General features: G+C 40.3%; 4 protein-coding genes across 5 annotated transcripts, besides 14 other annotated features; 2 read left to right on the top strand and 2 right to left on the bottom strand.

Moving 5' to 3' along the window:
* Positions 2986–3095: an enhancer, noted in NCBI's record as "active region_24188". NCBI's record gives its function as "activates an Ori minimal core promoter by ATAC-STARR-seq in GM12878 lymphoblastoid cells {active_cell/tissue: GM12878}" and the evidence as "EXISTENCE:reporter gene assay evidence [ECO:0000049][PMID:35858748]".
* Positions 3120–3810: an enhancer, noted in NCBI's record as "NANOG-H3K27ac hESC enhancer chr6:26103833-26104523 (GRCh37/hg19 assembly coordinates)". NCBI's record gives its function as "activates a minimal SCP1, AML or CMV promoter by ChIP-STARR-seq in primed H9 embryonic stem cells {active_cell/tissue: H9 hESC(primed)}" and the evidence as "EXISTENCE:reporter gene assay evidence [ECO:0000049][PMID:30033119]".
* Positions 3448–3852, top strand: H4C3 (H4 clustered histone 3). The gene has a single exon (NM_003542.4). The coding sequence runs from the start codon at positions 3463–3465 to the stop codon at positions 3772–3774; it is 312 nt and encodes a 103-aa protein (NP_003533.1). The 5' UTR covers positions 3448–3462; the 3' UTR covers positions 3775–3852.
* On the bottom strand, positions 6927–7650 carry H1-6 (H1.6 linker histone, cluster member). The gene has a single exon (NM_005323.4). The coding sequence runs from the start codon at positions 7606–7608 to the stop codon at positions 6985–6987; it is 624 nt and encodes a 207-aa protein (NP_005314.2). The 5' UTR covers positions 7609–7650; the 3' UTR covers positions 6927–6984.
* Positions 7651–12684: 5034 nt separating this feature from the next.
* On the bottom strand, positions 12685–23441 carry H2BC4 (H2B clustered histone 4). Of its 2 annotated transcripts, NM_001381989.1 has the most exons (2): positions 23030–23441; positions 12685–14650 (listed from the first exon to the last, which is right to left on the bottom strand). In NM_001381989.1, exon 1 carries the CDS (start codon positions 23417–23419, stop codon positions 23039–23041), a length of 381 nt encoding a protein of 126 aa, NP_001368918.1. In that variant the 5' UTR covers positions 23420–23441; the 3' UTR covers positions 12685–14650; positions 23030–23038. The 2 variants fall into 2 exon arrangements, with proteins under 2 accessions (NP_001368918.1, NP_003517.2); NM_003526.3 differs by lacking the exon at positions 12685–14650 and having other exon boundaries at positions 22982–23441.
* Positions 20861–21547: an enhancer, noted in NCBI's record as "H3K27ac-H3K4me1 hESC enhancer chr6:26121574-26122260 (GRCh37/hg19 assembly coordinates)". NCBI's record gives its function as "activates a minimal SCP1, AML or CMV promoter by ChIP-STARR-seq in naive H9 embryonic stem cells {active_cell/tissue: H9 hESC(naive)}" and the evidence as "EXISTENCE:reporter gene assay evidence [ECO:0000049][PMID:30033119]".
* Positions 21548–22232: an enhancer, noted in NCBI's record as "H3K27ac-H3K4me1 hESC enhancer chr6:26122261-26122945 (GRCh37/hg19 assembly coordinates)". NCBI's record gives its function as "activates a minimal SCP1, AML or CMV promoter by ChIP-STARR-seq in naive H9 embryonic stem cells {active_cell/tissue: H9 hESC(naive)}" and the evidence as "EXISTENCE:reporter gene assay evidence [ECO:0000049][PMID:30033119]".
* Positions 22233–22918: an enhancer, noted in NCBI's record as "NANOG-H3K27ac-H3K4me1 hESC enhancer chr6:26122946-26123631 (GRCh37/hg19 assembly coordinates)". NCBI's record gives its function as "activates a minimal SCP1, AML or CMV promoter by ChIP-STARR-seq in naive H9 embryonic stem cells {active_cell/tissue: H9 hESC(naive)}" and the evidence as "EXISTENCE:reporter gene assay evidence [ECO:0000049][PMID:30033119]".
* Positions 22233–23590: a biological region, named in NCBI's record as "BRD4-independent group 4 enhancer GRCh37_chr6:26123079-26124278".
* Positions 22366–23565: an enhancer, noted in NCBI's record as "BRD4-independent group 4 enhancer chr6:26123079-26124278 (GRCh37/hg19 assembly coordinates)". NCBI's record gives its function as "activates an origin of replication core promoter dependent on BRD2, P300/CBP, MED14 and CDK7 cofactors, and independent of BRD4, by STARR-seq in HCT116 cells {active_cell/tissue: HCT116}" and the evidence as "EXISTENCE:reporter gene assay evidence [ECO:0000049][PMID:35650434]".
* Positions 22614–23353: an enhancer, noted in NCBI's record as "active region_24189". NCBI's record gives its function as "activates an Ori minimal core promoter by ATAC-STARR-seq in GM12878 lymphoblastoid cells {active_cell/tissue: GM12878}" and the evidence as "EXISTENCE:reporter gene assay evidence [ECO:0000049][PMID:35858748]".
* Positions 23225–23590: a silencer, noted in NCBI's record as "fragment chr6:26123938-26124303 (GRCh37/hg19 assembly coordinates)". NCBI's record gives its function as "represses an EF-1alpha promoter that drives an FKBP-Casp9 reporter gene in an ReSE screen in K562 erythroleukemia cells {active_cell/tissue: K562}" and the evidence as "EXISTENCE:reporter gene assay evidence [ECO:0000049][PMID:32094911]".
* Positions 23597–24796: an enhancer, noted in NCBI's record as "BRD4-independent group 4 enhancer chr6:26124310-26125509 (GRCh37/hg19 assembly coordinates)". NCBI's record gives its function as "activates an origin of replication core promoter dependent on BRD2, P300/CBP, MED14 and CDK7 cofactors, and independent of BRD4, by STARR-seq in HCT116 cells {active_cell/tissue: HCT116}" and the evidence as "EXISTENCE:reporter gene assay evidence [ECO:0000049][PMID:35650434]".
* Positions 23604–24289: an enhancer, noted in NCBI's record as "NANOG-H3K27ac-H3K4me1 hESC enhancer chr6:26124317-26125002 (GRCh37/hg19 assembly coordinates)". NCBI's record gives its function as "activates a minimal SCP1, AML or CMV promoter by ChIP-STARR-seq in naive H9 embryonic stem cells {active_cell/tissue: H9 hESC(naive)}" and the evidence as "EXISTENCE:reporter gene assay evidence [ECO:0000049][PMID:30033119]".
* Positions 23624–23763: an enhancer, noted in NCBI's record as "active region_24190". NCBI's record gives its function as "activates an Ori minimal core promoter by ATAC-STARR-seq in GM12878 lymphoblastoid cells {active_cell/tissue: GM12878}" and the evidence as "EXISTENCE:reporter gene assay evidence [ECO:0000049][PMID:35858748]".
* Positions 23687–24205, top strand: H2AC6 (H2A clustered histone 6). The gene has a single exon (NM_003512.4). It carries the CDS (start codon positions 23748–23750, stop codon positions 24138–24140), a length of 393 nt encoding a protein of 130 aa, NP_003503.1. The 5' UTR covers positions 23687–23747; the 3' UTR covers positions 24141–24205.
* Positions 23854–24063: an enhancer, noted in NCBI's record as "active region_24191". NCBI's record gives its function as "activates an Ori minimal core promoter by ATAC-STARR-seq in GM12878 lymphoblastoid cells {active_cell/tissue: GM12878}" and the evidence as "EXISTENCE:reporter gene assay evidence [ECO:0000049][PMID:35858748]".
* Positions 24804–24893: an enhancer, noted in NCBI's record as "active region_24192". NCBI's record gives its function as "activates an Ori minimal core promoter by ATAC-STARR-seq in GM12878 lymphoblastoid cells {active_cell/tissue: GM12878}" and the evidence as "EXISTENCE:reporter gene assay evidence [ECO:0000049][PMID:35858748]".

A 25744-nucleotide genomic window follows, 5' to 3' on the forward strand; every position in this document is an offset into this window, starting at 1 on the left:
GACCAGCCTGGACAACACAGGGAAAGCCCATCTCTACAAAATATACAAAATTAGTGGCCGAGCGTGGTGGCTCACGCCTGTAATCCCAGCACTTTGGGAGGCCGAGGCGGGCAGATCACCTGAGGTCAGGAGTTCCAGACCAGCCTCAACATGGAGAAACCCCGTCTCTACTAAAAATACAAAATTAGCTGGGCGTGGTGATGCATGCCTGTAATCCCAGCTACTCGGGAGGCTGAGGCAGGAGAATTGCTTGAACCTGGGAGGTAGAGGTTGCGGTGAGCCGAGATCCCGCCATTGCACTCCAGCCTGGGCAACAAGAGCGAAACTCCATCTCAAAAAACAAAACAAACAAATAAACAAAATTAGTCAGGTGTGGTTGTGCACACCTGTAGTCCCAGCTACTTGGGAGGCTGAGGTGGGAGGATCACTTGAGCCCGGGGAAGTGTAGGCTACCATGAGCCATCATGGTGCCACTGTACTCCAGTCTAGGAAAAAAATAAACATTAAAAATTTTAAAATCTTAAAAAAAGAAAAGAAATTTTCTGTCCAGATATCTTTATTTTTAACAAATCGAAGTGTATTAATAGTGTTTATGGGAGCGTGCCCACACAAGGACAGCAAGCCTAGGAAGTGCAAGTCAAGAAAACTTTTTGTGAAATAATTTAAACTGAAAAGAAAAAGCAGAGATTTTTTTCTAGAAAAGTAAGGAGTGGAGGTAAAAAAAAAACACAGCAGAGACACAGGTATGCTACGGAACCAAAGGTGTGCCAATGGTACTGACAGTTTAATTCAGAAAAAAATGAATCAGAAAATGGATATTTTTAAATAAGTTAGGTTGCTGAAAAAGAGAAATGCAGTGAAGCCTTAGATGGGAGTGAGATAAATCAGCCATTGGCTAGAGGAGTTTCTTGCCCAAGACCAGTGGTGATGTCCCCAAATGCCTGGAAACAACTGTTGTGACATTATAAAGCCCCCATAGTCTAAGTTGGGTGAGACTATACTTATGCATTTTCTCACCTGTAATATAGCTTAAAAGTATTTCTACTCTGGGATTTCTTTACATTTTACTAAAGCGCAATTATATACTTAAAACTGATAGTGTATGCTGGGCTGCTAGTCATTCTCAACCCTGGCCAATTATCAGAATTGTTTGTTGAATATATAGGTGCCATATATAGGTGCATACACACACACACACACACACATACACACACACACACACACACACACACCATATTTCATTCCTCATATCGAATATTCTGAGAGAGTTAGTTTGTGGAGGGTAGTTCTGGACAATTTATATTTTCATAACACCTCTGGTTATTTTTTTTTAAGTAGAGATGAAGACTTGCTATGTTGCCCAAAATGGTCTTGAACTCCTGAGCTCAAGCGATTCTCCCAACTCAGCCTCCTGAAGTGCTGGGATTACAGCCGTGAGCCACTGCATTAACCTCTGATTAATATCATAGATTAACCTCTGATTAATATCATAGATTTATTTGTTTGAATGCTTCATGTATCCTCTCAACCACAACTTGTTTGCAGAGTTTTAATCTGAAGGGCTTAGGTCTCTTGTTCAATGAATGAGTTTGATCTGATGGGTGAGAGGAAGGTGAAATGGAAAGCGAACGAGAAGCCATACAGATTAGGCGAGTGAGCCTAATCTCTCCCTAACCATAAGATTGAGTATGCCTGAATTCTTCGCAGAGTGGAAGAATCCATTTTAAATATATATATCTACATGTACAGATCCTTTAAATATTTGTTCTGACATTCATTGTTTTTGAGTCACTGTCATTGAGAAAAGTTTAGAAAGGAGATATTAGGAGCAGGAAATAGAAAGTAAATAAAATATCAAAATAAAAATGGGGTTTTATAAATGATATAATAGGCAAAATAAAGGAAAGGCATCCTAGACCTCTGGTTAAAATGAAGATGGCACTTGGCGAGATGTGTTCCAGGGTAGTTCACATGATGTATGTTTTCAGAGAATTGTCATATTGCATATGCTGCTATATTTTTTATTTTCATGAATTAAAAGGCATGTTGAGATTTCAGAGTTTTACTTATGATCTCAGACTCTGCATTTTTTCTCTGTAATGTTTGACATTTCTTCCTAGCTAAGTCTCTAGTTATAAGGTCTGTGTTGTGGCATGTGGACAGTGAGTGGAAGAACCTAAGAACTCAATTTGGGGCAGAAGAATGTAATCAATTATTTCAGAAGTGATACAAACAATATGACATGTAGAGCATTCTGGCCTTTCCTGGGTCTTTTTTCTCCATTCCTGGATTTCTTCTCTTCATGTGAGCAAGTCTGAGGTTACTATATAATGTCTCTCACAGGCCACAGCCCCATTCTAAATATTCCCAATAGAAATTCATTTATTAACCAGAGAGTGGTGGGTGGGGTTGTTTTTGTTTTTTAAACAAAAGTGGATCTTATGGGCATTCTGGAAAGCTCCCGCAGGAAGCTAAGAATAAAATTTTGAATTGAGAAGTCCCTTTCTTCAAACCACATTCAGACCCAATTCTGCTATTCTATTTATTTTTCAAGGGGATTAGCCTTATTTTAACACCAATAATCTTATCACAAAAACCTCCCAGAGGAAGACCCTGTAGATTTTGTAATGACCTTAATCAAGTATTAGCCCTACACTTCAATTAATCCCCAACTGTACAAAACGAATGTTCTTTTCTCTAAAGCTGTAGCAAGTTGAAAGGGGATTAAAAACGGAGGGAAGGGAAGAGTGTTTGGAATTTCAGGCACAGCAAACAGGCACAGCAGACCAGGAAGAGCGTCCCGGGAAAACATATTATCCAGACTTAAGTTTATATTCCCTGTCTCTCTCAGACTTTTGCAGAAAAATGAGTCATTCAACAAATATTTGAATCGAGATAGGGAAAGTGACGAGGAAGAAGTTTGCACTTATGAGGTTTTAATTTGCAATTATTTGGCTACCTTTTTGCCTTCCCAAAACATAGGGTCTTTAGGAGTGAAACTTCATAGCCAAACTTATACCTTGTCCAGCACAGAGAAGGCCATCAAAATGCCTGGTTTAAATAAAAATATTAAAATGATTGGGAGGGTAAATCCCTTGACCTATAAATCTGACCTCCTTTAAACATTATTTGTATGTTCCCCAATAAACTATTCCGTAATTTATTAGTTAGCAAGTGGAAATAAAAAGAAATGTGGAATGGGGCTATGCTTAGCGTCATTAAGCTGACAGGAATACAGCGCATTCAACTTGCAAACACCCTTCCACTCCCACAAAGAGCAAGCTGTCACTGGCCAATCAAAACAATGAACCATAATGAAACAGTTTTTCTTGCTCCACCCACTTGGTGACCAAATTTGAAAAAAAAAAAAAACCGCGCCAACTCATGTTGTTTTCAATCAGGTCCGCCAAGTTTGTATTTAAGGAACTGTTTCAGTTCATACCTTCCACTGCGATAGGAATCATGTCTGGTCGCGGCAAAGGCGGAAAAGGCTTGGGGAAGGGTGGTGCTAAGCGCCATCGTAAGGTGCTCCGGGATAACATCCAGGGCATTACAAAACCGGCTATTCGCCGTTTGGCTCGGCGCGGTGGCGTCAAGCGCATTTCCGGTCTTATCTATGAGGAGACTCGAGGTGTGCTTAAGGTTTTCTTAGAGAACGTTATTCGAGACGCCGTCACCTATACGGAGCACGCCAAGCGCAAAACTGTCACAGCCATGGATGTAGTATATGCCCTAAAACGTCAGGGGCGCACTCTGTATGGCTTCGGCGGCTGAATCTAAGAATACGCGGTCTCCTGAGAACTTCAAAAAACAAAAACAAAAAAACCCAAAGGCCCTTTTCAGGGCCGCTCACAAAGTCGTTTAAAGAGCTGAAATGCGTTGCGAGAATGAGTTTGGATGACAGAAATAACCGTGACATCCTGCATAAGAATGAATTGTGTTTGCCATGACCGGCCACACTGTGACAAAATTTCAAAGCATAAAGTAGGCATAGAGAGGTAAGCGCTAATAAAGTGATTGGCTCCACAAAAAGCATTTTGCTGGGCGCAGTGGCTCACGACTGTAATCCCAGCACTTTGGGAGGCCAAAGCTAGTGTATCACTTGAGATCAAGAATCCGAGACCAGCCTGGCCAAAATGGTGAAACCCCCTCTACCAAAAAAAATACAAAACTTAGCCGGGCGTGGTGGTCTGCACCTGTAGGCCCAGCTAGCCCGGAAGCAGAGATTGCAGTGAGCCGAGATCGCGCCACTCCCCTCCAGCCTGGGAGACAGAGAGAGACTCCTCAAAAAAAAAAAAAAAAAAAAAAAAAAAAATTATGTATTTTAGAGCATTCTAAGAATGGTACTTTGGACTTAACCGAAGGGCTGGAGGCGCGTGTTGAACAAAGGTTATCACCTTTTGGCTCATGCGGCACACAGCTATGTAAATAAAGCATCTTTAGGGACAAGCTCTCATTTGCGGAGGGTTCTATGGCTGTTGTCCTATTGGCCAAAACAAAGTGGTCTAAGTCCGGGCGCGGTGGCTCACGCCTGTATTCCCAGCAGTTTGGTAGGCCAAGGTGGGTGGATCACGAGGTCTGGCGTTCAAGACCAGCCTGGCCAAGATGGTGAAACCCCGTCTACTAAAAATACAAAAATTAGCCGGGCGTGGTGGCGGGCACCTGTAATCCCAGCTACGTGGGAGGCTGAGCCAGAGAACTGCTTGAACCCAGGAGGCAGAGGTTGCAGTGAACCGAGATTGTGCCACTGCACTCTAGCCTGGGTGACAGAGCGAGGCTCCATCCAAAACAAAACAAAACAAAAAAGTGGTCTAATAATCCCCAGAACTGGAGGAAGAACCATAACTTATTGATTTTGTTTTTAACCTTATGTATGCCAGGCATGCTAGCCTTGTATACATACAAGGCTAGAGGAGCAAAGGTGCAGGAAGCCATCTTGAGGGAGTCCCATATTATTGAGAGACCGGCCAGCTGCTGGGAGAGGCTAGTTGTTCATCCTCACTGTATGTGATGAGAATCTGGTGACAGTCCATTGCTGGGCACAGCATTTAGGCAAAATGGCTCTCTGCTATGTCAGGCAAGTGAGGCATATTTTTGCACAATCCTAGTAATTCCGAACTCATTGGGAAACAATGGCAATTACATCCAAGCAAGGAAAGGTCTGTGGTTGATTTTATCTATACAAATTTAAAACATAATGTTTACAACCTTTCATTATAGGACACAATTTTTAAAAAGATGCCAAACTATACAAATAAGTTCAGAAAAGTGAGGTACTATTGAACCGTCTGGAAAACATAAATGTATGTGAAATAATGCAATGCATAGTTTTGCAGGGGACTTTGTTCAAAGTTTCTCGAAATACCATGGTCCAAAGTAGACTAACATTAGCATTGGTTATTTATGATGATCAGTAAGAATACTAAATCAAAAATCAAAGGAAAATTAAACTATGTCTGTTTAAAGAGAAACGTAGTTTACCTCAGACTGAGAGTTAAAACAAGTTTGTGATTCAGGAAGGTGGAATTCAGAACCTAATTGGGCAGCCTCCAACATTTCCATTAAGGTTTGGATTCTTAAAATTTTTCAGTCTTCGGTATGCTCTGGTAGTCTGATGAAACTTACAGATTCTTTTCATAAATAAGATACTTAAAGTAATTCATAGGGTTACAATTGTATTAGACCAATAATATTAAAATAATTATCAAACCACTTGACCGTAATATGTGTGTTTTTGTTGATATACCTAATAGTACTTCGGAAATAAGCAAGCACGATTTCCAGATTCTTGCAACAACTATAACCTACAAATTTGTTATTTCTATCAGTCACACACAATGGAAGAAAATTCTAAATTTCAGCTACAGGATAATGAATAGATGAAAAACAACAACAACAACAACAACAAAAAAACTCCCCTAATCCATATTCTGGGACACCTTGATTCCTATTTATTGATCCCTTGAAGTCAGTGGATAGCATATTAAGAAACAATAGTTACAATGACACCACAGAAAGACTAGAATGTAGTACTTGTGTTAAAAAAAAAAAAAGTATCAGCAAGTTATGTTTGGATGCCAAATTGCTCTCCACTTCCCTTCCCTGACACTGGCATTTCCAGAACTTAGATGCTCTTACATGTAAAAGCCTCCTCTAGTGCACCATCGAGCTTTTCAGGATTGGACATCAGACTTTTTAGTTCCTGGACCTCTAGATATACGGCAGTCTCTGACAAGAAGCCCTTTTTCTGTTTTAACTTTTTTTTTTTTTAAGTTTTGAGACAACGTCTGACTCGCTGTCACCCAGGCTGGAGTGAGGTAGCACCATCATAGCTCACTGTATCCTTAAACGCCTGGGTGCAGGGACTAAGGGAGCGTGCCAACCATGCTTGACTAATTTACTTTTTTGTAAAACCAGTAGTCTCCAACCTTTTTGACACAAGAGACCGTTTTGTGTAAGACAATTATACCACGGACCAGGGGGTGCAGGGGCTGGGAGCAATGATTTCCGGACTAAAACTGCTCCAACCTCAGATCATCAGGCATTAGATTGTCACAAGGAGCCTGAAACCTAGATCCCTTGCATGTGCCATTCACAATACAGTTTGAGCTTATGAGAATCTATCTAATGCTGCAGCTAACCTGACAGGCGGTGGAGCTCAGTTGGTTAATGTTCGCTCACCCCTCAGCTGTGCGGCTCAATTCATAACGTGCCATGGACAGGGACCGGTTACCGGTCGGTGGCCGGGGAAATGAGGACCCCTGGTATAGATGGTAGTCTGGCTATGTTGCCCAGGATGGTCTTGAAGCCTGGCCTGAATTAATTCTCCAATCTCAAGCCTTTTCAACTCAGCTGCATCACAACTTAAACCTATAGATAACTGTCACAGAAACTTGTTTCCAGTGTTACGCCATCTTAAAATAATGTGGGTGGCTCTTAAAAGAGCCTTTGGGTTCTTTCCAAATTGGCCTCCCGGAAAGCTCTTTACTTCTTAGATGTGGCCTTTCTAACATTAACTTCATGATGTTGGGTCAATTTTGACTTCGAAGCCCTTGCCTTCACTGGGCTCTTCTGCTGTTGCTTACCCTTGGCTCCTTTAGCCTTTCTCCCGCTCCTAACAGTTTTAGGAGTTGTCGCTCTCGGCTTCTTGGCTCTCTTATTGGTTTTAGCAGTCTTTGGTGACTTGGAGTCCCTGGATAAAACCAGCTTCTTGGTCTTGGCAGAAACTGACTTTTTAGCCTTGCTTCTGGTAGATTTAGGAATCACCTTCTTACTAAGCTTAAAGGAACCGGAAGCACCAGTACCCCTGGTTTGCACCAGGATTCCCTTGTTCACTAAGCTCTTGAGGGACAGTTTGATGCGGCTGTTATTCTTCTCTACGTCGTAGCCAGCAGCGGCCAATGCCTTCTTGAGCGCAACCAAAGACATACCTACTCGTTCCTGTGACACTGAAAGGGCCTCGGTGATCAACTTGGACACAGAGAGGTTCGGCACTTTGCGACTTGCACTTATCAAGCCAGCCGGCTTCCTCCCTCGCTTCTTGGTTGGAAGTTTCTCCATAGCGGCTACACCAGCACTGGCAGAAGCTGCAGGCACGGTTTCAGACATAACAACAGAGAAACGCAAGATGTAATAACCAGCGAAAAGCATGAAACACCCGGGCGGCCTCGGGGCCTTATATAGGGTAGGGCGCGCTGTGATTGGTGCATCACCTAGGCACCGCCCCCGCCCCTTGGAGGAGGAGTATTTGTGTTTGTTTTACCCGGAAAAGTTGAGTATAACAAAACCCCTCTTTACAGAATCTCCCAGGGTCTAGTGCTGAATAATCTGCGGAAATTCATATTTGACATGACTTTTCTCTTTTTAATGAAAAATGACCCTGGATGCCAAAACTATTCGAGAAAGCCCTCGATTTTCAATCAAATTCACGGAGAGGAACAAAACTTCCCCTTTTCCTTGTAAATTAATAAGTAATCTTTGGCAGAAGACTTATTTCATCTCTTCAGAGTGGTCTTCCAAATGGATAGCTTCAAATCGGTAGAGGAAAGAAATTATTCACGCCATGATTTTTATTTAAAATTATTTATATATGTGAGGGAAGTAACACAGATCTCTTAGCTGTCTAATTGCGGAGTCAGAAGATGCTTATAGAATTGTCAAAAGACTGCAGAGGATGTCTTTATTTAGGCATGTGCAATCTAATAAATCATAATCCACAGGAACATGGGTTGTCTGTAATTAAAGGTGCTCCCAAGTCCCTGTAGCTTTATAGAGGACTCTCAAGGATGGGGTAATATCAAGATCTCACACATTATGTAAGATTGGCCATAATCAGGCCACTCTCATGACCGGTGTCCTCAACTGAGTTTTGCTTCTGGTTTCATTAATTGAAGTCCCCTCTATCCCCCTGCCCACCCCTACATCCCCAGATAAACAGACACAGTCCCTCCCCTAAATTAACTATAAAACATGAGGTAGGAACCCTAGACTCAAGAACCTACTAGAAACTACAGACCCCATGTCTAACAAGACTGGGCGGGTTGGCTGGGCGCAGTGATTCATGCCTGTAATTACAGCACTTCGGAAGGCTGGAGGCCAGGAGTTCAAGACTAGGTTGGCCTGGTCCCTACTGAAAAAAAAAAAAATTAGCTGGGTGTGGTGGCACATGCCTGCAGTCCCAGCTTCTGGGTAGACTGAAGAGGATCACTTAGAGCCCAGGAGCTTGAGGTCGCAGCTACTGCACTCCAGCCTGGGCAGACCCTCATCTCTGAATTGCTTAATTAATTAACTGAGCTGGCAGATTTGGCTGCATAGCTGTGGGGAAAGGGTTGTTGGAATAATGTCCAGTGTGCTCCCCTGAGCTTCTACTGGAACAGGTCTTTGTGAGAGGCCTGGAGATAAGAGCTTGCTCACAAAGGCTGAGGCCTTTCTGGGATGCTGAATGAGTTTAGTGTGGCCAGAGCATAGGGTCTCAGCAAAGGAAAACTCCATAAGGGCCATTTGTGAAGATCCCCAAATACTTGTGTGAAACATTTGGTAGATATTAGAAGTTTTGTTTTGGTTTGGTTTGAGACAGAGTTTTGCTCTTGTTGCCCAGGCTGGAGTGCAATGGTGTGATCTTGGCTCAGTGCAACCTCCACCTCCCAGGTTCAGGCAATTCTCCTGCCTCAGCCTCCCAATTAGCTGGGATTATAGGCGCCCACCACCATGCCTGGCTAATTTTTTGTATTTTTAGTAGAGATGGGGTTTCATCATGTTGGCCAGGCTAGTCTCGAACTCCCCACCTCAAGTGATCTGCCCGCCTCTGCCTCCAAAGTGCTGGGAATACATGCGTGAGCCGCCGCGCCCGGCAGACATTGGAAGTTTTTAAGCAGAGAATTTGTTGTATTGTTGTAGTTGTCTTGGGTTTAGATTTATTGCATAAACAATCATTTTTGAGAAGGGCCCACAGTCAGAAGTTGGGAGTCTGTTGCAATAGTCTCAGAAGAATGGCAAAGACCTTGCCTAAGGGGACAGTGTGGTAAAGGAGAGAGTCTACATTTGAAATATTTCTGAAACAAAAGCCAAAAGATAAGACTTCAAACTTCTGATTGCAAAGTGAGATAGAAAAGTTTCTTTCTCTCTGTCTCTCTGTTATACCCATACACACACACATATGCACAAACACCTGAAAGAAAAAAAAATTCAGGGAACAGGCCAGGTAGGGTGGCTCATGCCTATAATCCCATAAATTTGGGAGGCTGAGGCTAGTGGATCACTAGAGCCCAGGAGTTCACAAGGCCAGCCTAAGCACATAGCAAGACCCTGTCTCTACAATTAAAAAATTACCCGGGTGTGGTGGCACGTACCTGTGGTCCCAGTTACTCAAAAGGCTGAGGTGGGAGAATCACTTGGGCCCAGGAGGTCAAGGCTGCAGTGAGCATGATTGTGCCACTGCACTTCAGCCTGGGCAAGAGCGAGACCCTGTCTCAAAAAAAAAAAATTTTTTTTTTTTTTCCAGAAAACAATACTATCTTAAGCACCAGCACTTTAGTATATTCTACTGTGGACTAGTTCATTTTTAAAAGAACACTAGGTTGGAAATCATGAGATTGATTCCACAACTCACTAAAGCACCGTGTCACTCAGTTTGGAAAATATTTCTCCTTAGAGAGATTACAGGTGCATCTTTCTGAGCACCTGTATGTTTTTACATTTGTTTGGCTTCTCTGACCTTTGATAATTTCTGAGTGTTGTACTATTAAATATTAGTGGCTAGGGGTCAAATTGTGGATCAGGTTGATCCTTATATTTACAAGTTGACAGATACGTTACTCCATTGCTTTAAAACTAACACAGAATTAGAGAATTTAGAAAATTCTTACATTCCATAATTTAAGACCCAGAAAAAAAAGATTCATATTTTGCATTAGATAGCTAAAATGGTACCATAAAAACAAATGATATCCACATATATATAGTATATAGTGCTTCTTCTGTGCCAGTCACTATCCTAAGTTTTTCTCTCCCTTCCCCAAAAATGTAGGAATTAACTTTATAGATGAAGAAACTGAGGCACAGGAATGTCACATGACTTGCCCAAAGGAAATTCAGTCTTCCTTTTTCAATTCTTTTTTCTTTTTACTTTGCTGCAGGGTCTCGCTGTGTTGCCCAGGATGCTCTTGAACTCCCGGACTCAAGCGATCCTCCTTCTTCAGCCTCTCAAAGTGCTGGGATTACAGGCATGAGCCACTGCGCCCAGTCAGGAAATTCAGTCTTCTAAACATTCATTATTGAAATAATATTTCCATAAACATTTTCTTAGATAAACTTTGGCATCTCTAACTTCTAAGTAGCAAAGTCATGGAAACAGTCACAGAGAAAATAACTTTATTTTAAAAATAATAAATTCTTATCTCCGGTGATAAGAAAAGTATACAGCCCATTTTTTAAAGTATTAATTTTACATTCTAATTTGGTTTTTTTAATGTTTACCATATATTTCTCTTTCTACATATGTGTGTGAGTGAATAAAATAAAGGCATCTACAGATTTTTACATGTTCAGTGAGATTAGCAGGGTTTCACTTGACAGCACTCTTACCATACTCACTTCTTGGCTTTTCCTGATATCTAACATTTTTAAAATGAGTAGTCCCTTTTCATATGATTCTTCCTTTTTCAAGCACTATTTTTGAACTTTATATTTGATTGGCAATAATTTTTACAGACATTATTTTACGATTAACTTTAACTCTGTTCAAATGATTTCTTCATTTTCAAGTATTTTATTTGAACTGCTTTTTTTGGTTCAACTACTGAGTATTTAATTTGTCTGTTTTGTAGAAAGGGTATGTAGATAATTCCATGTTTTGTAAAAGTTGTCTCTAAAAATCTAACAAGTGTAAGTACGATGCTATTACAGGGCTGAGAGACACAGAAAAAACACACACACACACACAAAATTTTTTTTTAAGTATTACTTGGTCTCTAAACTAAAGAATTTACCATCTATTTTGGGAGATGAAATCCAAACATAAGCAATGACAACAATTATTATGTGCTTAAATCAATGTCCAAGACAATAATTGACCCCAAGGCAGGGAAATCACTGAGAGAGTATAGCAGAGAAGGTGTCCTCTCTGTTCAGATGAGCCTGAATAATTTGTTCAGTAGGTTTCTGCTACTCATTTATAAACTGCACATCTTCTGTAGTCCTGGAAAATGTCTAAGAGGAGAGAGGAACTAAGATCAGGGCCACCATTTAATTAGGAAGTTCTGGGAGTACCTGACCCAGAAGAAAGATCAGCATAGCTGAAAATCACCCATAGGAGAAACATCTAGGTAATCTTATTTCTGTTCCACCTGACATTTCAACCTCTCTTTTCAGCTATAAGTATATAAGTACTTATATGTAAGTAAAGAAATTTACCCACATCATGTTGTTTTTTATTCAATGCTTAACATGTATAATGCTAACAACACAGACTTGATGTCCAAAACATTTCTATGAACAGCTCATTACTGGATGACTGAAATAATTTTTCCAAGCCACGTGGAGGTTAATGAGTCAGTTTTTGAAAGCAAGGAGAGAAAAACATTAGAATTTAAGGTGACGTTTCTGTTGCGTTGTAATCCAGAATACAGAATAGTCAGAGAAAAGCAGAAAGTCTTTCTTCTTAAATTTTCTGAAAACCAAGGTGTGCATTAAAATGGTACATGCCTACTTCCCTTTCCCTTTACCCTTTTTTCCTGCATGGAACATAGATATGACCCCTAGACATGCTGCAGATGACCATGAGGTTGAAAGATACATGGAAGATGGTTAACACAGGATGATAGAAGAGACCTGCATACTTGGGCAGCCTAGACAGCTCCTGCCAGCCCCCAACAAAACAGCCTAGCCTTCTTGCCAATCAAGAAAAAAAATCCCTTCTGGTAACCCACTGTAAGTGAATTTCTGTAAATGTGGCCCAATGTATCCATAATTGATATACAAATATTAGTTTAGTGGGTAGCACCTCTCCATGAGCATGTCGACTTCATGAGACTGAGATTTTTGACTGTCATGTGCAGTTGTCCCATTACAGTGCCTGGTGCATGGGAACAGCTCAACTGTGCATACCCATTGAAGAAATAGATGCATGGTCAATCGAATTTCCAGGTATATCATATGTTTCCATAAAAAAAGTAAACATACAGCATATCTCCTTCCAGTTTATTTATTTTTCTCTCTAGGACCAATTTACAGTCTATCAGCAGTGCGTGAGCACCTGTTTCACCACATATACAAACCCCTCCAAGACTATAAGGATATCATTAAGCTTTTTATCACTGTCAGTTAAGTGGTAAACATAGTTTTCTACATACTTTGCATTTTTGTTTCTCATGAGATTCAATGTTTTACATGGGTAAGTTGTTAGATCATATTTATTCAAGATGAGGCATTTGTCTCCTGGTAAGACATCTTGGTCTAATGCTGACTCTGGGGTGTGGACATTTGGCTGTTGACTGTGAGGTGGCTATCTACATGTGGAGTGGAGGAGTCCTGGCCTTGGATTGAGGAGAACAAGGTCAACTTCTCACCTCACTTGTTTCTGGCTTTTGTGACCTTGGACAAGTTTAACTTTTCTCTCTCCTAGTCTTAGTTTTCTTGTCTGTAAGTGACAGCAATGATGCTGTCTTTGTTGGCTTGGGCTGCCATAAAAAAATACCATAGATTGTGTGGTTTAAACAACAAAATTTTATCACAGTTCTGGAGGCTGGAAGTCTCAGAGCAGGGTATAGCATGGCTGGATTCTGTTGAGGGCTCTCTTGCTGGCTTGTAGAGTGCTACCTTCTCACTGTGAGAGCTCACATAGCCTTTCCTCAGTATATGTGCAGAGCTCCCTCTCTTCCTCTTTTTTTTTTTTCTTTTAAATAAATTATTTAATTTGGAAGACCAAGTGCAGAATCTTCCTCTTCTTATAAGGCCACCAATCCTATCCAGTTAGGAACCCATCCTAATGACCTCATTTAACCTTAATTACCTCTTATAAGTCCTGTCTAGGAATAGAGTCATATTGGGGTTTATGGCTTCAATATATGAATTTGGGGGGATGGGGAGACAATTCAGTCCATAGTAAACACTTTCTCAAAGAGTAGTTATAATGTTTATAAGAGACAATGTAGGTAAAAGTAGTTTCAGTTGCATGCAGCTAAATGCAGTTTAGTATCCCTTCAGAGTCCTCCGCAGAAAAGGCACCTGATAAATATTTATGTGGCCTTAACCTAAGGTATTATTCTTTATATAGTGCCTTCCCATGTAATGATTGATGTCATGTTTATCATTTTGCAGTGCAGTTTATTTCTTATAGGGTCATGGCTAACAAGAAACATGGGAAGAATGACCCTCACTAATAGAGTCATTAAAATAATGTAATTTCAATTTTTTTTTCTTTTGAAGGACTATTAGGTTAACAGTGATTTTTAAAATTTATTGTAAATATGAGTGCTATAAAACAGGAATTTCCATATTATTTTGGGATTATAAATTGGTATGATCCTGAATAGCAATTTGGCAATGTATATGTTAAGAACCTTAGAAAATGTTTTTCACTTTTGATTTAGTATTTCCACTTCATGAAGTCTATCCTTAGGAAATAATATTTGAACAAAGATTTATGTACAAAGATGTGTGAGCTATATAATCTATAATATAATGCATAAAAATGGGAATCAATTGAAGTAGTCAATAACAAATACATAATTATCAATATATCCATAAATTATACATCCATAAAAAAGTTTCTAAGTATATTTATCTAAATATATATCATGACACCTAAATTTATTTTATATATGATACATGATGTGAGATATATGTATATATGAATATGAGTATATATAATATACATATAAAAAGAATAGGAGATACTAGGAGTTATTTTAATTTTGTCTTTATGTTTCCTGTGTCATAAATTTCTATGAAGAATATTTTAATAGTTTTATGCATAGAAAAAAGAGCTAATTTTTCTCAGCCAGGTGTTCATTTGTCCTTCTTTGATTGTTCAAAATACCTCCATTTATCTTCTTCTAGGATCACTCATTTTCATTGGTTTATTTGCAAGATGAAACAGTGTCCAGCAGTGACGACTGTTGGAAAAGATATGTCTAAAAGCTGTTGTCTCCCCCTGGAGAAAAGAGAGAGAGTGATTGATTCACTTCTGTAATTTATCAGATATGAGATATTGTATTTGACTCTGAGAACAATGATAATGATGATGGCTAAAGTTCACTGGATGTTTGCTCTGTGCCAGGCAGTGTTTTAAGCACTTTACACAATAGATACCAATGCATTTAGTTGTTCCAACAACCTTATGAGATACCTACTGTCATTCTCCCTGCGTTATAGATGAGGAAATTAAGGCACAGAGAGGTTAAGTTTCCCAGGTAGCACAGCTGTTGGATAATGAGCCTGTGCAGTAAACCCACATCCTCTAGCCCTTGAATGTCTGTACGCTCTTAAAAGATGAATGTAACCTAGTCAGTGTCCTAAAGTTCCATTTGATCTAAACTTGAAGGATAAAAATTTATCCAGTGAGGAAAAAGACTTAGTGTTTTTCATAAAGAAGATACAGCGACGAAGGCCAGGCCGTGGGGACTGTCTGATTTTTAGAGCCTAGAACCCTGAGCACACTCTCTAAACCCTCCAACATGCTCTTACTCTGTTGCCTGCTGAGCATCTTTGATCCACTCTTGAGGCTAGCAGTTTTCCTTCCATTCAAGATCTCACAACGTGTATTGTTCTCTGCAGATTTTTTAAACATGCAATTTTATTTTTTAATTGTTAAAAATATATTTATTTCAGTGCACTGAAGCTCAAATGTGTGTGTTTTAAAATCTAGTGTCCAAGGTTCATTACCCCAATTGTTTAAGCAAGTCTAACAACAAAAGGGGCACATTTTAATTTTCAATTTTTTTTTGTTCTAGCCTACAGTTGAGTTTGGGCAAATAATAGTAGACAAAAAAGTGAAAAGAAAACTAAGGACAAGAAAATAAAGGAAGGGAGAATGGGGGGAGAGGAGGGAGAAAAGTGAAAACAAAAGTTTATTCATATTTCTCTTGAATCCAATTCTTTTACCATTTGAAAACTTGATATGGTCAGAGAATAAGCCTAGAATTTTAAGTGATGAGGATAAGGTTTTACCACAGGTAGCCTCCTCTACATAGGTCTATTTCCTCATAGAATGAGAGAAGCCCCATCATTTCTGCTCTTTTACCCTTCTGAGCCAGCAGCAAGGAGATCTACTATCAAGGCATGAGCAACTGTAGAAACATGAGACCAGATGTCTCTATTAATTATTCTACAAATTGCGCATTGGATGATAAGGTTACATGAATCTTTAAATCAGCAAACCAAAGTCCCATTATTATTACATATTTTTTCCTCCTCAGAACTGAAGTGGGGCGGGGTACAGTGACTCACACTAGTAATCCCAACAATTTGGGAGGCTGAGGCAGGAGGATCACTTAAGCCCAGGAGTTTGAGACCAGCCTGGGCAACATAGTAAGACCCCATCTCTACAAAAAACTTTTTAAAAAATTAGCTTGGCATGGTGGTGTGCACCTGCTGTGGTTCCAGATACTCAGGATGCTGAGGCAGGAGGATGGCTTCAGCCCAGAAGGTGGAGGTTACAATGAGATGCGATTGCGCCACTACACTCCAGCCTGGCAGCCTGGGCAACAAAGTGAGACCCTGTCTCTGAAAAAAAGAACTGAGGTCAAGGAGTAGTAAGAAAGTGGCTCATTCTCCAGATTTACTCTCTTTTTCTTAATTATAATGAACTCATGATACTTGAGGATATGTCAAACTGATCTTCAGACCCCAAAGAAATTACTCAGAGCCTAGAATACCTTTCAGGAAATGTTACAGTGGTATACTCTACTCAATTTAATTTTATGCTTGGTCATCCAGGATTACACAGGCTAAAGGTAGGAAAAGTTTCACTAATTTTTAATGTCTTTTAATTTAGGACTACTGGGATTGTCTGTCAATGTGCTGAATATATATATCCTTCCAAATCTGGAAGATTTAAGAGAAATGATAGTTATCATTCTTTAAGTCCTTAGGAATATGCCTAGAGAGCTAATTTCATATGTTCAGGGAAAAAAAGTGTATTTTTTCTCAACCTGTTGGACCCCGGTAAACATACTATGATCAACTGGCATTTTCATATCAAATAATTTATGAAATTCTTATAATTTATAGAAGGCCAACTCCTACCAAAGTCTTCAGTCATAAGCTGCTTCAAGTCCTTTTAGGAGCGTAAAGATGGTTATAAATAAAATTTGTCAAACAGCAGTAAACACAGTGGTTTATATGCATTAAGGATCTTTAATCTTCACATACTTCTAGAAGGTAGGTGCTATTACCATCACTGTAAAGGTATAGAGAAGGATACTAATGCACAGAGAGATTAAATGACCTGCCTCAGAGTCCCACATCTTATATGTGGTGATCTGGGAGTCAAACTTGGAGTCTGTCTCCAGAAGCTTCACTTTTTGTCATCATTGAGCAGTGCTGTGCAGCCATTTTACTAGCATGATACCACGTCTGGAACTAGTGTTCTATAGGTGCTATTTCATTTAATCTTCACCCCATCTTTATGAGTAGGGCAATTATTACCACTCTATAGGCTCAGGGTAGTTGAGTTTGTCAAACTGTGACTGAAAGACATTTAATTTTTGGCATACTATTTACTTGTGCTCAAGGTATATCAAGCAATGGACTGATTTCACTCAACAAAGTATTTTAAAAAGATGATTTATAAAATAGAAATGGGAGAAAAAAACTACAAACTGTCTAGGAATAGGATGTTATGTTTGCACATTATTTTCAGTAGAAAAGAGTTTAGTATGGATACTCTCTTCTTGTATAAACCAAGAATGTTAAAAGAAAACAATTAGTGATTCTCTAGAAACAATTAGTGATTCTCTAGAAACACTTAAGATTGGCTGTGCAGCACTATGGCTATCTCTGTGTAGTATTTTCCACTGACAACCAACATTTCCATGTTAGGTAGGCCATGTCTTCACGATTTCTGGCACCAGAGTTTTTCAACTCCTCCATTTTTGGTAAAAATATCTCATAAAGGAGCAAGTCTAACCATGTGAGTTTGTTTAGTTTTTTGTTTTTTGTTTTTTTGACAATGGCTTTGTAACAACATTTAATAATCTGCATATTAGAGAAGCACAGAAGTAGGGCAAAAAAAAAAGTTATGAGGGTAATTACAAATATTATAAGAATTCCTTAAAGTACAAATTGTCTCCAAGAATTTAATTGGCTTGTCTTAGATGAATAGGTCTCAAAGATCAGTTTGGTCAAAGATCAGTTTGGTCAACTTTAGTTAAACAAGTTCATTTTTCCTAATTGATTATTTTGACTCAAATGTGGGCCACAGGCAGAAATAAATTTTCTAGTAAATATTCTTATTTAGGAACTTTTAGTCAAGTTATAAAGGTCCTTGTTACAAACCTGCAAAAAGTTAGCATGCCAATATCTTAGTAAAATATAACTGAGATTTGTTTATTTGCTTGTTTTTTAATACTTGGGAGGGCCAGATCAAAATTTCATCACTGGAAAGACAGATAATGGAGAAAAGGACAAAACAGAATAATACCACAGGTAAAAGAAGGAAGAAGCTGTCTATTTCAGACCTCATCTTCCTCTGTAGACTTTGAAGAGGAAACTTCCTACTTCCAGAATTCTGGAGGTCTTTTAATGAATCTCAGAACTGTATTTTTAGTGATAGTGTATTTCTCAGTGAGATTCCAAATGTGTTTACACTGGGAAGCACATATCCATCTGCTCTGAAGTATAAAAGCAGTATTTGTTGTTTGAAGTACTGAAAATGGAGGTTCCAGCATTGTTATAATGTTGTCAGAGAAGATTGGTTATTACATTAAGATATGAATATAAATCATGGCTATATAAAAATAAGAAAAAGATTGAAGTCTTATTTTAGAGTGACAATCCATAGTAAATTGAATGTACCACATTAACAAACAGTAACAACTTTTTAAATAAGTAAAGGCTCAAGGTAGTCATTATCTCGAATGCTTACTTGTGTTTCTCTGTAGCTATAGTACTTGATAGAGTCAGAGCTGTTTGGATTAACCATAGCCCTTAAACAAAGCAGGCAATTGTGTTCCCGCATAGGCATGACGAAAACAGAGGCAGTCATCCAAAACCTGCATGGTCCTCTACGCCCACACGTATACAGTACGTGATTTACAAATCTAAAGTGGCGAAAGCAACAGTATCTATTCTAAGGCAATCATATGTTCTCTTATCTGTTTATCAATGGTTATTCTAAACTGTGTAAAAATGTTATTTGCATAAAACTACACTGTTTCTTGTGATTTGTATTTTGTACCCTCCAATTTAGAAATTGTCCAGGTATCCAAAGATTGAGAATTAATTTACTCAATTTAATAATATTCACCTAAATTCTTAAAGTTATCATACACTGTGAACTCAGTACTTAAGCTCACACATTGAATCCTTATAATTAGTAACATAAAATTTAATTCCATTTTTAAAAATGACATTATCTATTATCATTTAATTTGGTTCAATGAATAATTTACAATTTTAGAATAATAAATAAAGTGATGTTAACTCATGTAACCAGTACAACTAGTGGAAGAAATTTAGTAAATGCAAGTTAAATTAGCTTTTGTTTTTGTTTTTTAGAATATGAACCCTAAACTTGTGTATACTATAATATTCTGCTAATATTATTTTTACAGTATAAGAATAAAGAAGCCATTTTTAAAATGAAATTATTAAGCCAATTTGTCCAAAAAAAATCTTGATTAGATGTATTATATATTTTCCTTATTAAAAAAACCTAATAAAAGAGGTATTAATATTTTTAAGTTATTTAAAAATTGTGAAGTATTTTTTTTACAAAATACTTTAAGCTGTTAACTAAGACCACTAATGAAACTCACAGTTAAACTTTTTTTCTCTTAATTAGAACTTAAAGAGGTAGCACATTTAAAGCACAAGGAAAATTTTTGATTTTTTTTTAGACAAATGAGTTTTTATTTAAATTGATGTATTTTAAGTCTTTATGTAAGCCAACTAAAATTTAAGATTACATTATAATTTATTAATTCCCTTAAGTGGATAATTTCACAATTATTTAAATTCATAAAATAAGATAGTCTTTTCTGGGCACGGTGGCTCACGCCTGTAATCTCATCACTTTGGGAGGCCGAGGTGGATCACCTGAGTTCGAGACCAGTTTGGCCAACATGGCGAAACCCCATCTCTACTAAAAATGCACAAATTAGCCAGGCGTGGTGGTGCACCTGTAATCCCAGCTACTGGGGAGGCTGAGGCAGGAAAATTGCTAGAACCCTGGAGGCAGAGGTTGCAGTGAGCCGAGATTGTGCCACTGCACCCCAGCCTGGGCCACAGAGCAAAATTCTGTCTCAAAAAAAAAAAAAAGATAGTCTCAATCTTATTGCCAATTAGGAAAGCTAACCGTGCTAATAGAACAGAATTTAAAGTGGGTAAAAACAGAGCCATAGGTTATCTATTTAGCATGTTGATCAGTTAAAGAAATAAAAGTATGTAATTAAGATCAGAAGTCCCTCAGGTGGCACCACTGCTGAGAATATGAATAATTCTGATTCTCAGTTTAGAAGAAAATTCTAGTTTCCTAGTTTCCAGCATCACATCCCTTACAATAAACTCGTTAAGGTTTAGAAAATATTAAATCTTTGTTTTATTCAGATATTGAAAGCACTCTTTTTTTTCCCTGACTCAATAGTCCAATTTGTAACAACATTATGTTTCTTCTGTCCTCTAACCTTACTTAAAGAACGTGAAGGGGCAATAATGTGAAATTACTAAAATTAATAATAAGCTGTAGAGCCTCTGCCATAGCAGTTATTGAGACCAGACATTCGGTTTCCTTGATTTCCTTTTTGTCTCCTGTTAGTCCTAACACTTTCTTAAAGTCAAAAGTTATAACAGGGCAGCCATTTTATATTCATATCATCTTAACACAGGAATACTGGTTTTGCAGATATCGACAACTATTTGGACTCAAAAAAGACAAGTTTTGGAAGGTGGAAAGAGGCATACAAGCACAAAACATCAAATCCCATGTAAAGTCAGAAAGAAAAACACCAACTCTAACCCTGTGTCCTCACAGAGAATATCAACATCTTCAAACAAAAACACCCCAAAAAAAGGTTAATAAATAAACCAGATTTCCTGTCCTCTCCACTGACTAATCACTTAATGATGTGACCAGAAAACCAGAATTCAAATTCTACTACTGCCACCAATATGCAACCAATCAGCCAAGTCCAATTAGAATAACCAAAACAAACAAACGCGGACGATAAACTTTTAGCATGCAAAAGCCAAAGGAAAGTGAACAGAAAACTCAAAGGGTCCAGGGATAGACAACCTGTTTCCAAGACACACATTTCTGTTGGTTCTTATTGTATGACTCACATAAACACTGTCTTGGTGGAAAATTCAGAAATAAATGACCAAGAAGTTAATAATTTGCTTACTGGGTACTTGTACAGAAGAGAGAACAAGCAATAGAATTATTTCATCTAACACAGGCAAAAACATAATCTATGTAAGAGAAAGGGGAAAAGGCGGGGAAAGAATACTGAATTTTGTTTGCAGATTTTGGTTACACTGATTAGTTAGTTGGCAGGTAGGAGAGCGGTCAGTCTGAATGGGAATAAGTGACCAGGTCCATTAGAGGCATAGAAAAAAAAAAAACCATTTAGGCCCGGCGCGGTGGCTCAAGCCTGTAATCCAGGACTTTGGGAGGCCAAGGCGGGCAGATCACCTGATGTCCGGAGTTCGAGACCAGCCTGACCGACATGGAGAAACCTCGTCTCTACTAAAAATACAAAATTAGCCAGGGTGTCGTGGCGCATGCCTGTAATCCCAGCTACTCCGGAGGCTGAGGCAGGAGAATGGCTTGAACCCGGGAGGCGGAGGTTGCTGTGAGCCAAGATCGCGCCATTGCACTCCAGCCTGGGAAACAAGAGAGAAACTTCGTCTCAAAAAAAAAAAAAAAAAAGAAAAAAAAATTTACTTGTGAGGGACTCTGGAAATTTCATTTCTCATCAGAATTTCTCAGATAAGTTATCTAGGCAAGGCAGCCTGTGATTGCACAGCAGTGTTCAAGTATAAGGCCTTGTCTGGCACCAAAGACAGGCCTTAGTTTATTTCCCAGGTGTGAAAGAAATTGCAGATTTAAGATCACACAGTCCTTATGTTAAATAACTGTAACCTAAATTACATGGTATTTAAGTTTGTAAAAATCTGCTTTAACACTAATTTTATTTATTGTATATTCCCGGTTTTTAATGGAGAAAGCAAACTTCTAGGTGCTAAAAACGTGTTCTAGACTTGAATAAAAAGATAGGTAGACTACGTCTAACCCTTCATCTTAAAATCTTTACCTGGAAAAGACCATGAGTAAAATACTTAAGGGAATGTGGAATTTCCCAGGCCACAAAGCGGCCTGCAGTTGTCTAGGAAGGGAGAGTCCTCTAGGAGATACAGTGTATGTGCTAAGTTTAATGACGTCTCCTCTTCATTCTCCCCCACCCAGCGCCTAGTCCTTACTGGCCTTCAGTTCAGTGTTCGAAGGCTTGTCAATTTACCCAGCAGTTAAGAGTTGGCTTCTCCTAAAGCAACTTTCAAACTTGTCTGCATGTTACAAGCCCCCTACGGAGATTTTAAGTTTCAATCAGGCAACACACCATTTATGGCTGACTGAGCACTGGGATTCAAGCAAAATTTGATTTGATTTGAATCTTGAATAAACCAGTTGAATAGAATAAGATGTATGAAGCAACATCTGGCGCAGTGCTTACATCTTTAGTTCTGTACTGCCTTAGTGTTGTTATCAAAACTGACGCATATTAGGTTAAAAGACTATTACCGGGGCAGTTGGAAACCCAGGAGACACACCCTTCAGTATACTACGAAGGTGTGCGCCACGAAAACAGAGGGGGAGTCCTTCCTTAGGCAGTTACTGCCCAGGTTCCCACTCCGGTCCGCTATGTAAATCAGAGTCTCAAAACAGCTTTCCCTCGATTGGTTAATATTTAAAATGACAGGACAGCCTATTGGCTAGAAGCTGGTGGCGAAATTATGACATTACGGCAACCGTTGATCCTGGCGACGTAGACAGGGACAGACAGCTGGGTCTGAAACCTAAGCGAGCCTGCGGTTTCTTCCGGGAACGCCGAGTTAGCAAAATGGCCGCTTGTCTCCATTTTAAATTTAAGCACAACGAATTGACCCCAAAGCCATTTTTAATGGCTGGCTTCTTTCGGGTTCAGGACCCTTTGTCCCTCTCTAAGCTGCAACACTTGTCCCCACCCCTCTCCAGTTCCTATATTCTAATACCCCTCCGCCGCCAAATAAAATTTGGCGTCTGGCCACAGCTCTTTTAGTGGGTATCTGGGTGGCTCTTAAAAGAGCCTTTGGGGTTAGGTGTTAAGACGCTTACTTGGAATGTTTACTTGGAGCTGGTGTACTTGGTGACGGCCTTGGTGCCCTCCGACACGGCGTGCTTGGCCAGCTCTCCGGGAAGCAGCAGGCGCACGGCCGTCTGGATCTCCCTGGAGGTGATGGTCGAGCGCTTGTTGTAATGCGCCAGGCGGGAAGCCTCGCCCGCGATGCGCTCAAATATGTCGTTAACGAAAGAATTCATGATGCCCATGGCCTTGGAAGAGATGCCAGTGTCGGGATGGACCTGTTTCAGCACCTTGTACACGTACACAGAGTAACTCTCCTTGCGGCTGCGCTTGCGCTTCTTGCCATCTTTCTTCTGCGCTTTGGTCACTGCCTTCTTGGAGCCCTTCTTCGGGGCGGGAGCAGACTTGGCTGGCTCAGGCATCTTAAAACACCAGAAATGTGTCGAAAGTAAAGAGCGGATTTCTGCTACTTATAGGGCTTTTATGCTAATGAGGGATGGAGAGTACCTCTTAGTTAATTGGAAGACAAACTGCACAGTTGTCATCCGTGGGCAGAGCTATGCAAATGAGGTATGAAAGTACAGCTTTTCTATTGGCTATCTGACTAGCATTTGCTACCGACCAATCAAAAAGTCGGATTTACTCCCCAGGAACTACCTATAAAAGCGGCCATGTTTTACATATTTCTTGATTTTGTTTGTTTTCTCGTGAGCTTAGGCCGCTGGTTTTGGTGATTTTTGTCTGATTGCAATGTCTGGACGTGGTAAGCAAGGAGGCAAAGCTCGCGCCAAAGCGAAATCCCGCTCTTCTCGCGCTGGTCTCCAGTTCCCGGTGGGCCGAGTGCACCGCCTGCTCCGTAAAGGCAACTACGCAGAGCGGGTTGGGGCAGGCGCGCCGGTGTACCTGGCGGCGGTGTTAGAGTACCTGACCGCCGAGATCCTGGAGCTGGCCGGCAACGCGGCTCGCGACAACAAGAAGACTCGCATCATCCCGCGCCACTTGCAGCTGGCCATCCGCAACGACGAGGAGCTCAACAAACTGCTAGGCCGGGTGACCATTGCTCAGGGCGGCGTCCTTCCTAACATCCAGGCCGTGCTTCTGCCTAAGAAGACCGAGAGTCACCACAAGGCCAAGGGCAAGTGATTTGACAGGTATCTGAGCTCCCGGAAACGCTATCAAACCCAAAGGCTCTTTTCAGAGCCCCCCTACCGTTTCAAAGGAAGAGCTAACCTCACTGCTTGTAGGTAGAAGGAAAAAAGGCACTAAGGTAAGTTAATTTTATGCCAACCTTGAGCAAAGCGTATTACTGCTTTTCGGTTTTTGGGGAGCGCTGTTACTAAAGGTTGGTCTGTTTGTATGTAATAGTAGGTCAGTTACGTACTATCATACTCTAAAGAAATATTCTAGTTAATGCTTTGTAAGATCGACCATAGTTAGTGCCTAACAGTTTACATGCAGGGATGCCTCGTGATCTAAACACTTCGTTGTGATTACTTTAAAAATGTAAATTGAAGGCAAAACTCTAACGTGTTGGTAACCTTGTTTGGTCCTCCGACTAGTCCCCCGTCTATTTTTTTCTCAATTTAGGCTGTAGGCAGCCTCACTTTCCTAATTCTGTGAGAGTTATAGGTCCCATTCCTGCTAAAGTGCAGAGTATATTACCTAAAAGTTAACCAGGGAGTTGAAAGGTGTCTGTAAAACAGACTAATGTCCCTAATGTAGAACGGTGCCTGACATGCAACTTACTCTTGTATTTTAAGAAGCTCAAGCGTCTAGGTTGCCATTACAGGCAGAAAAGGAAATAGAGTGGGGCCTGTGGCCACTCAAAAACCTTTGCTTTCTGCTCACCCCTCTAATCCTACCACTTTGGGAGGCCGAGGGGGCTGATCACCTGAGGTCACGACTTCGACACTAACCTGGCCAACATGGTGAAACACCTCTCTACTAAATAAAAATAATAAATAAAAAAATAAGTTGGGCGTGGTGGCACATACCTTGTAATCCCAGCTACTCTTGAAGCTGACGCAGGAGAGTCGCTTGAGCCTGGGAGGCGGAGGTTGTAGTAAGCCGAGATCGTGCCACTGCCCTCCAGCCTGGGCAACAGTGAGACACGGTCCCCCAAAAAAACCTTTGCTTCTAGGGATCTGGTAACAGCTGCCCCACCCACAAGAAATGGAGATCTGGGACCATGGACAAATTTCTAGAGACCTATTTTCCTGGATTCTGTGAATCTCGCCGAGGTTTTCTTCCGGATCTCGGTTTCTGCATTTTTTTGTTTGTTTGCTTGCTTTTTTGAAACGGAGTTTTGCTCCTGTTGCCCAAGCTGGAATGCAGTGGCGCGATCTCGGCTCACTGCATACAAACTCCGCCTCCCGGGTTCAGACGACTCTCCGGCCTCAGCCTCCCTAGTAGATGGGATTACAAGCGCCCGCCACCAGTAGAAACGGAGTTTCACCAGGTTAGCCGGGCTGGTCTCGAACTCCTGACCTCAGGTGATCCGCCAGCCTCTGCCTACCAAAGTGCTGGGATTACAGGCGTGAGCCACCGCGCCCGGCCGGTTTCTGCTTTGATCGGAATTAAGTGGGCAGAAAAGTCTAGGCGGGCTAAGTCTTGCCTATGCATCTGCGCCCAGCTGCTCAGACTGGCCAAACAGACCCAGTCGTTTAGTCTAACGCTTCTGGAACTCCACTGAAGCGTTTTGCATTGTTTCGTTTGGAGCCTTCAAATCCGAGTGTGTGGCAGGAGAT

Source organism: Homo sapiens, chromosome 6, assembly GCF_000001405.40.
Source record: "Homo sapiens chromosome 6, GRCh38.p14 Primary Assembly".
NCBI classification, from domain to species: Eukaryota; Metazoa; Chordata; class Mammalia; order Primates; family Hominidae; genus Homo; species Homo sapiens.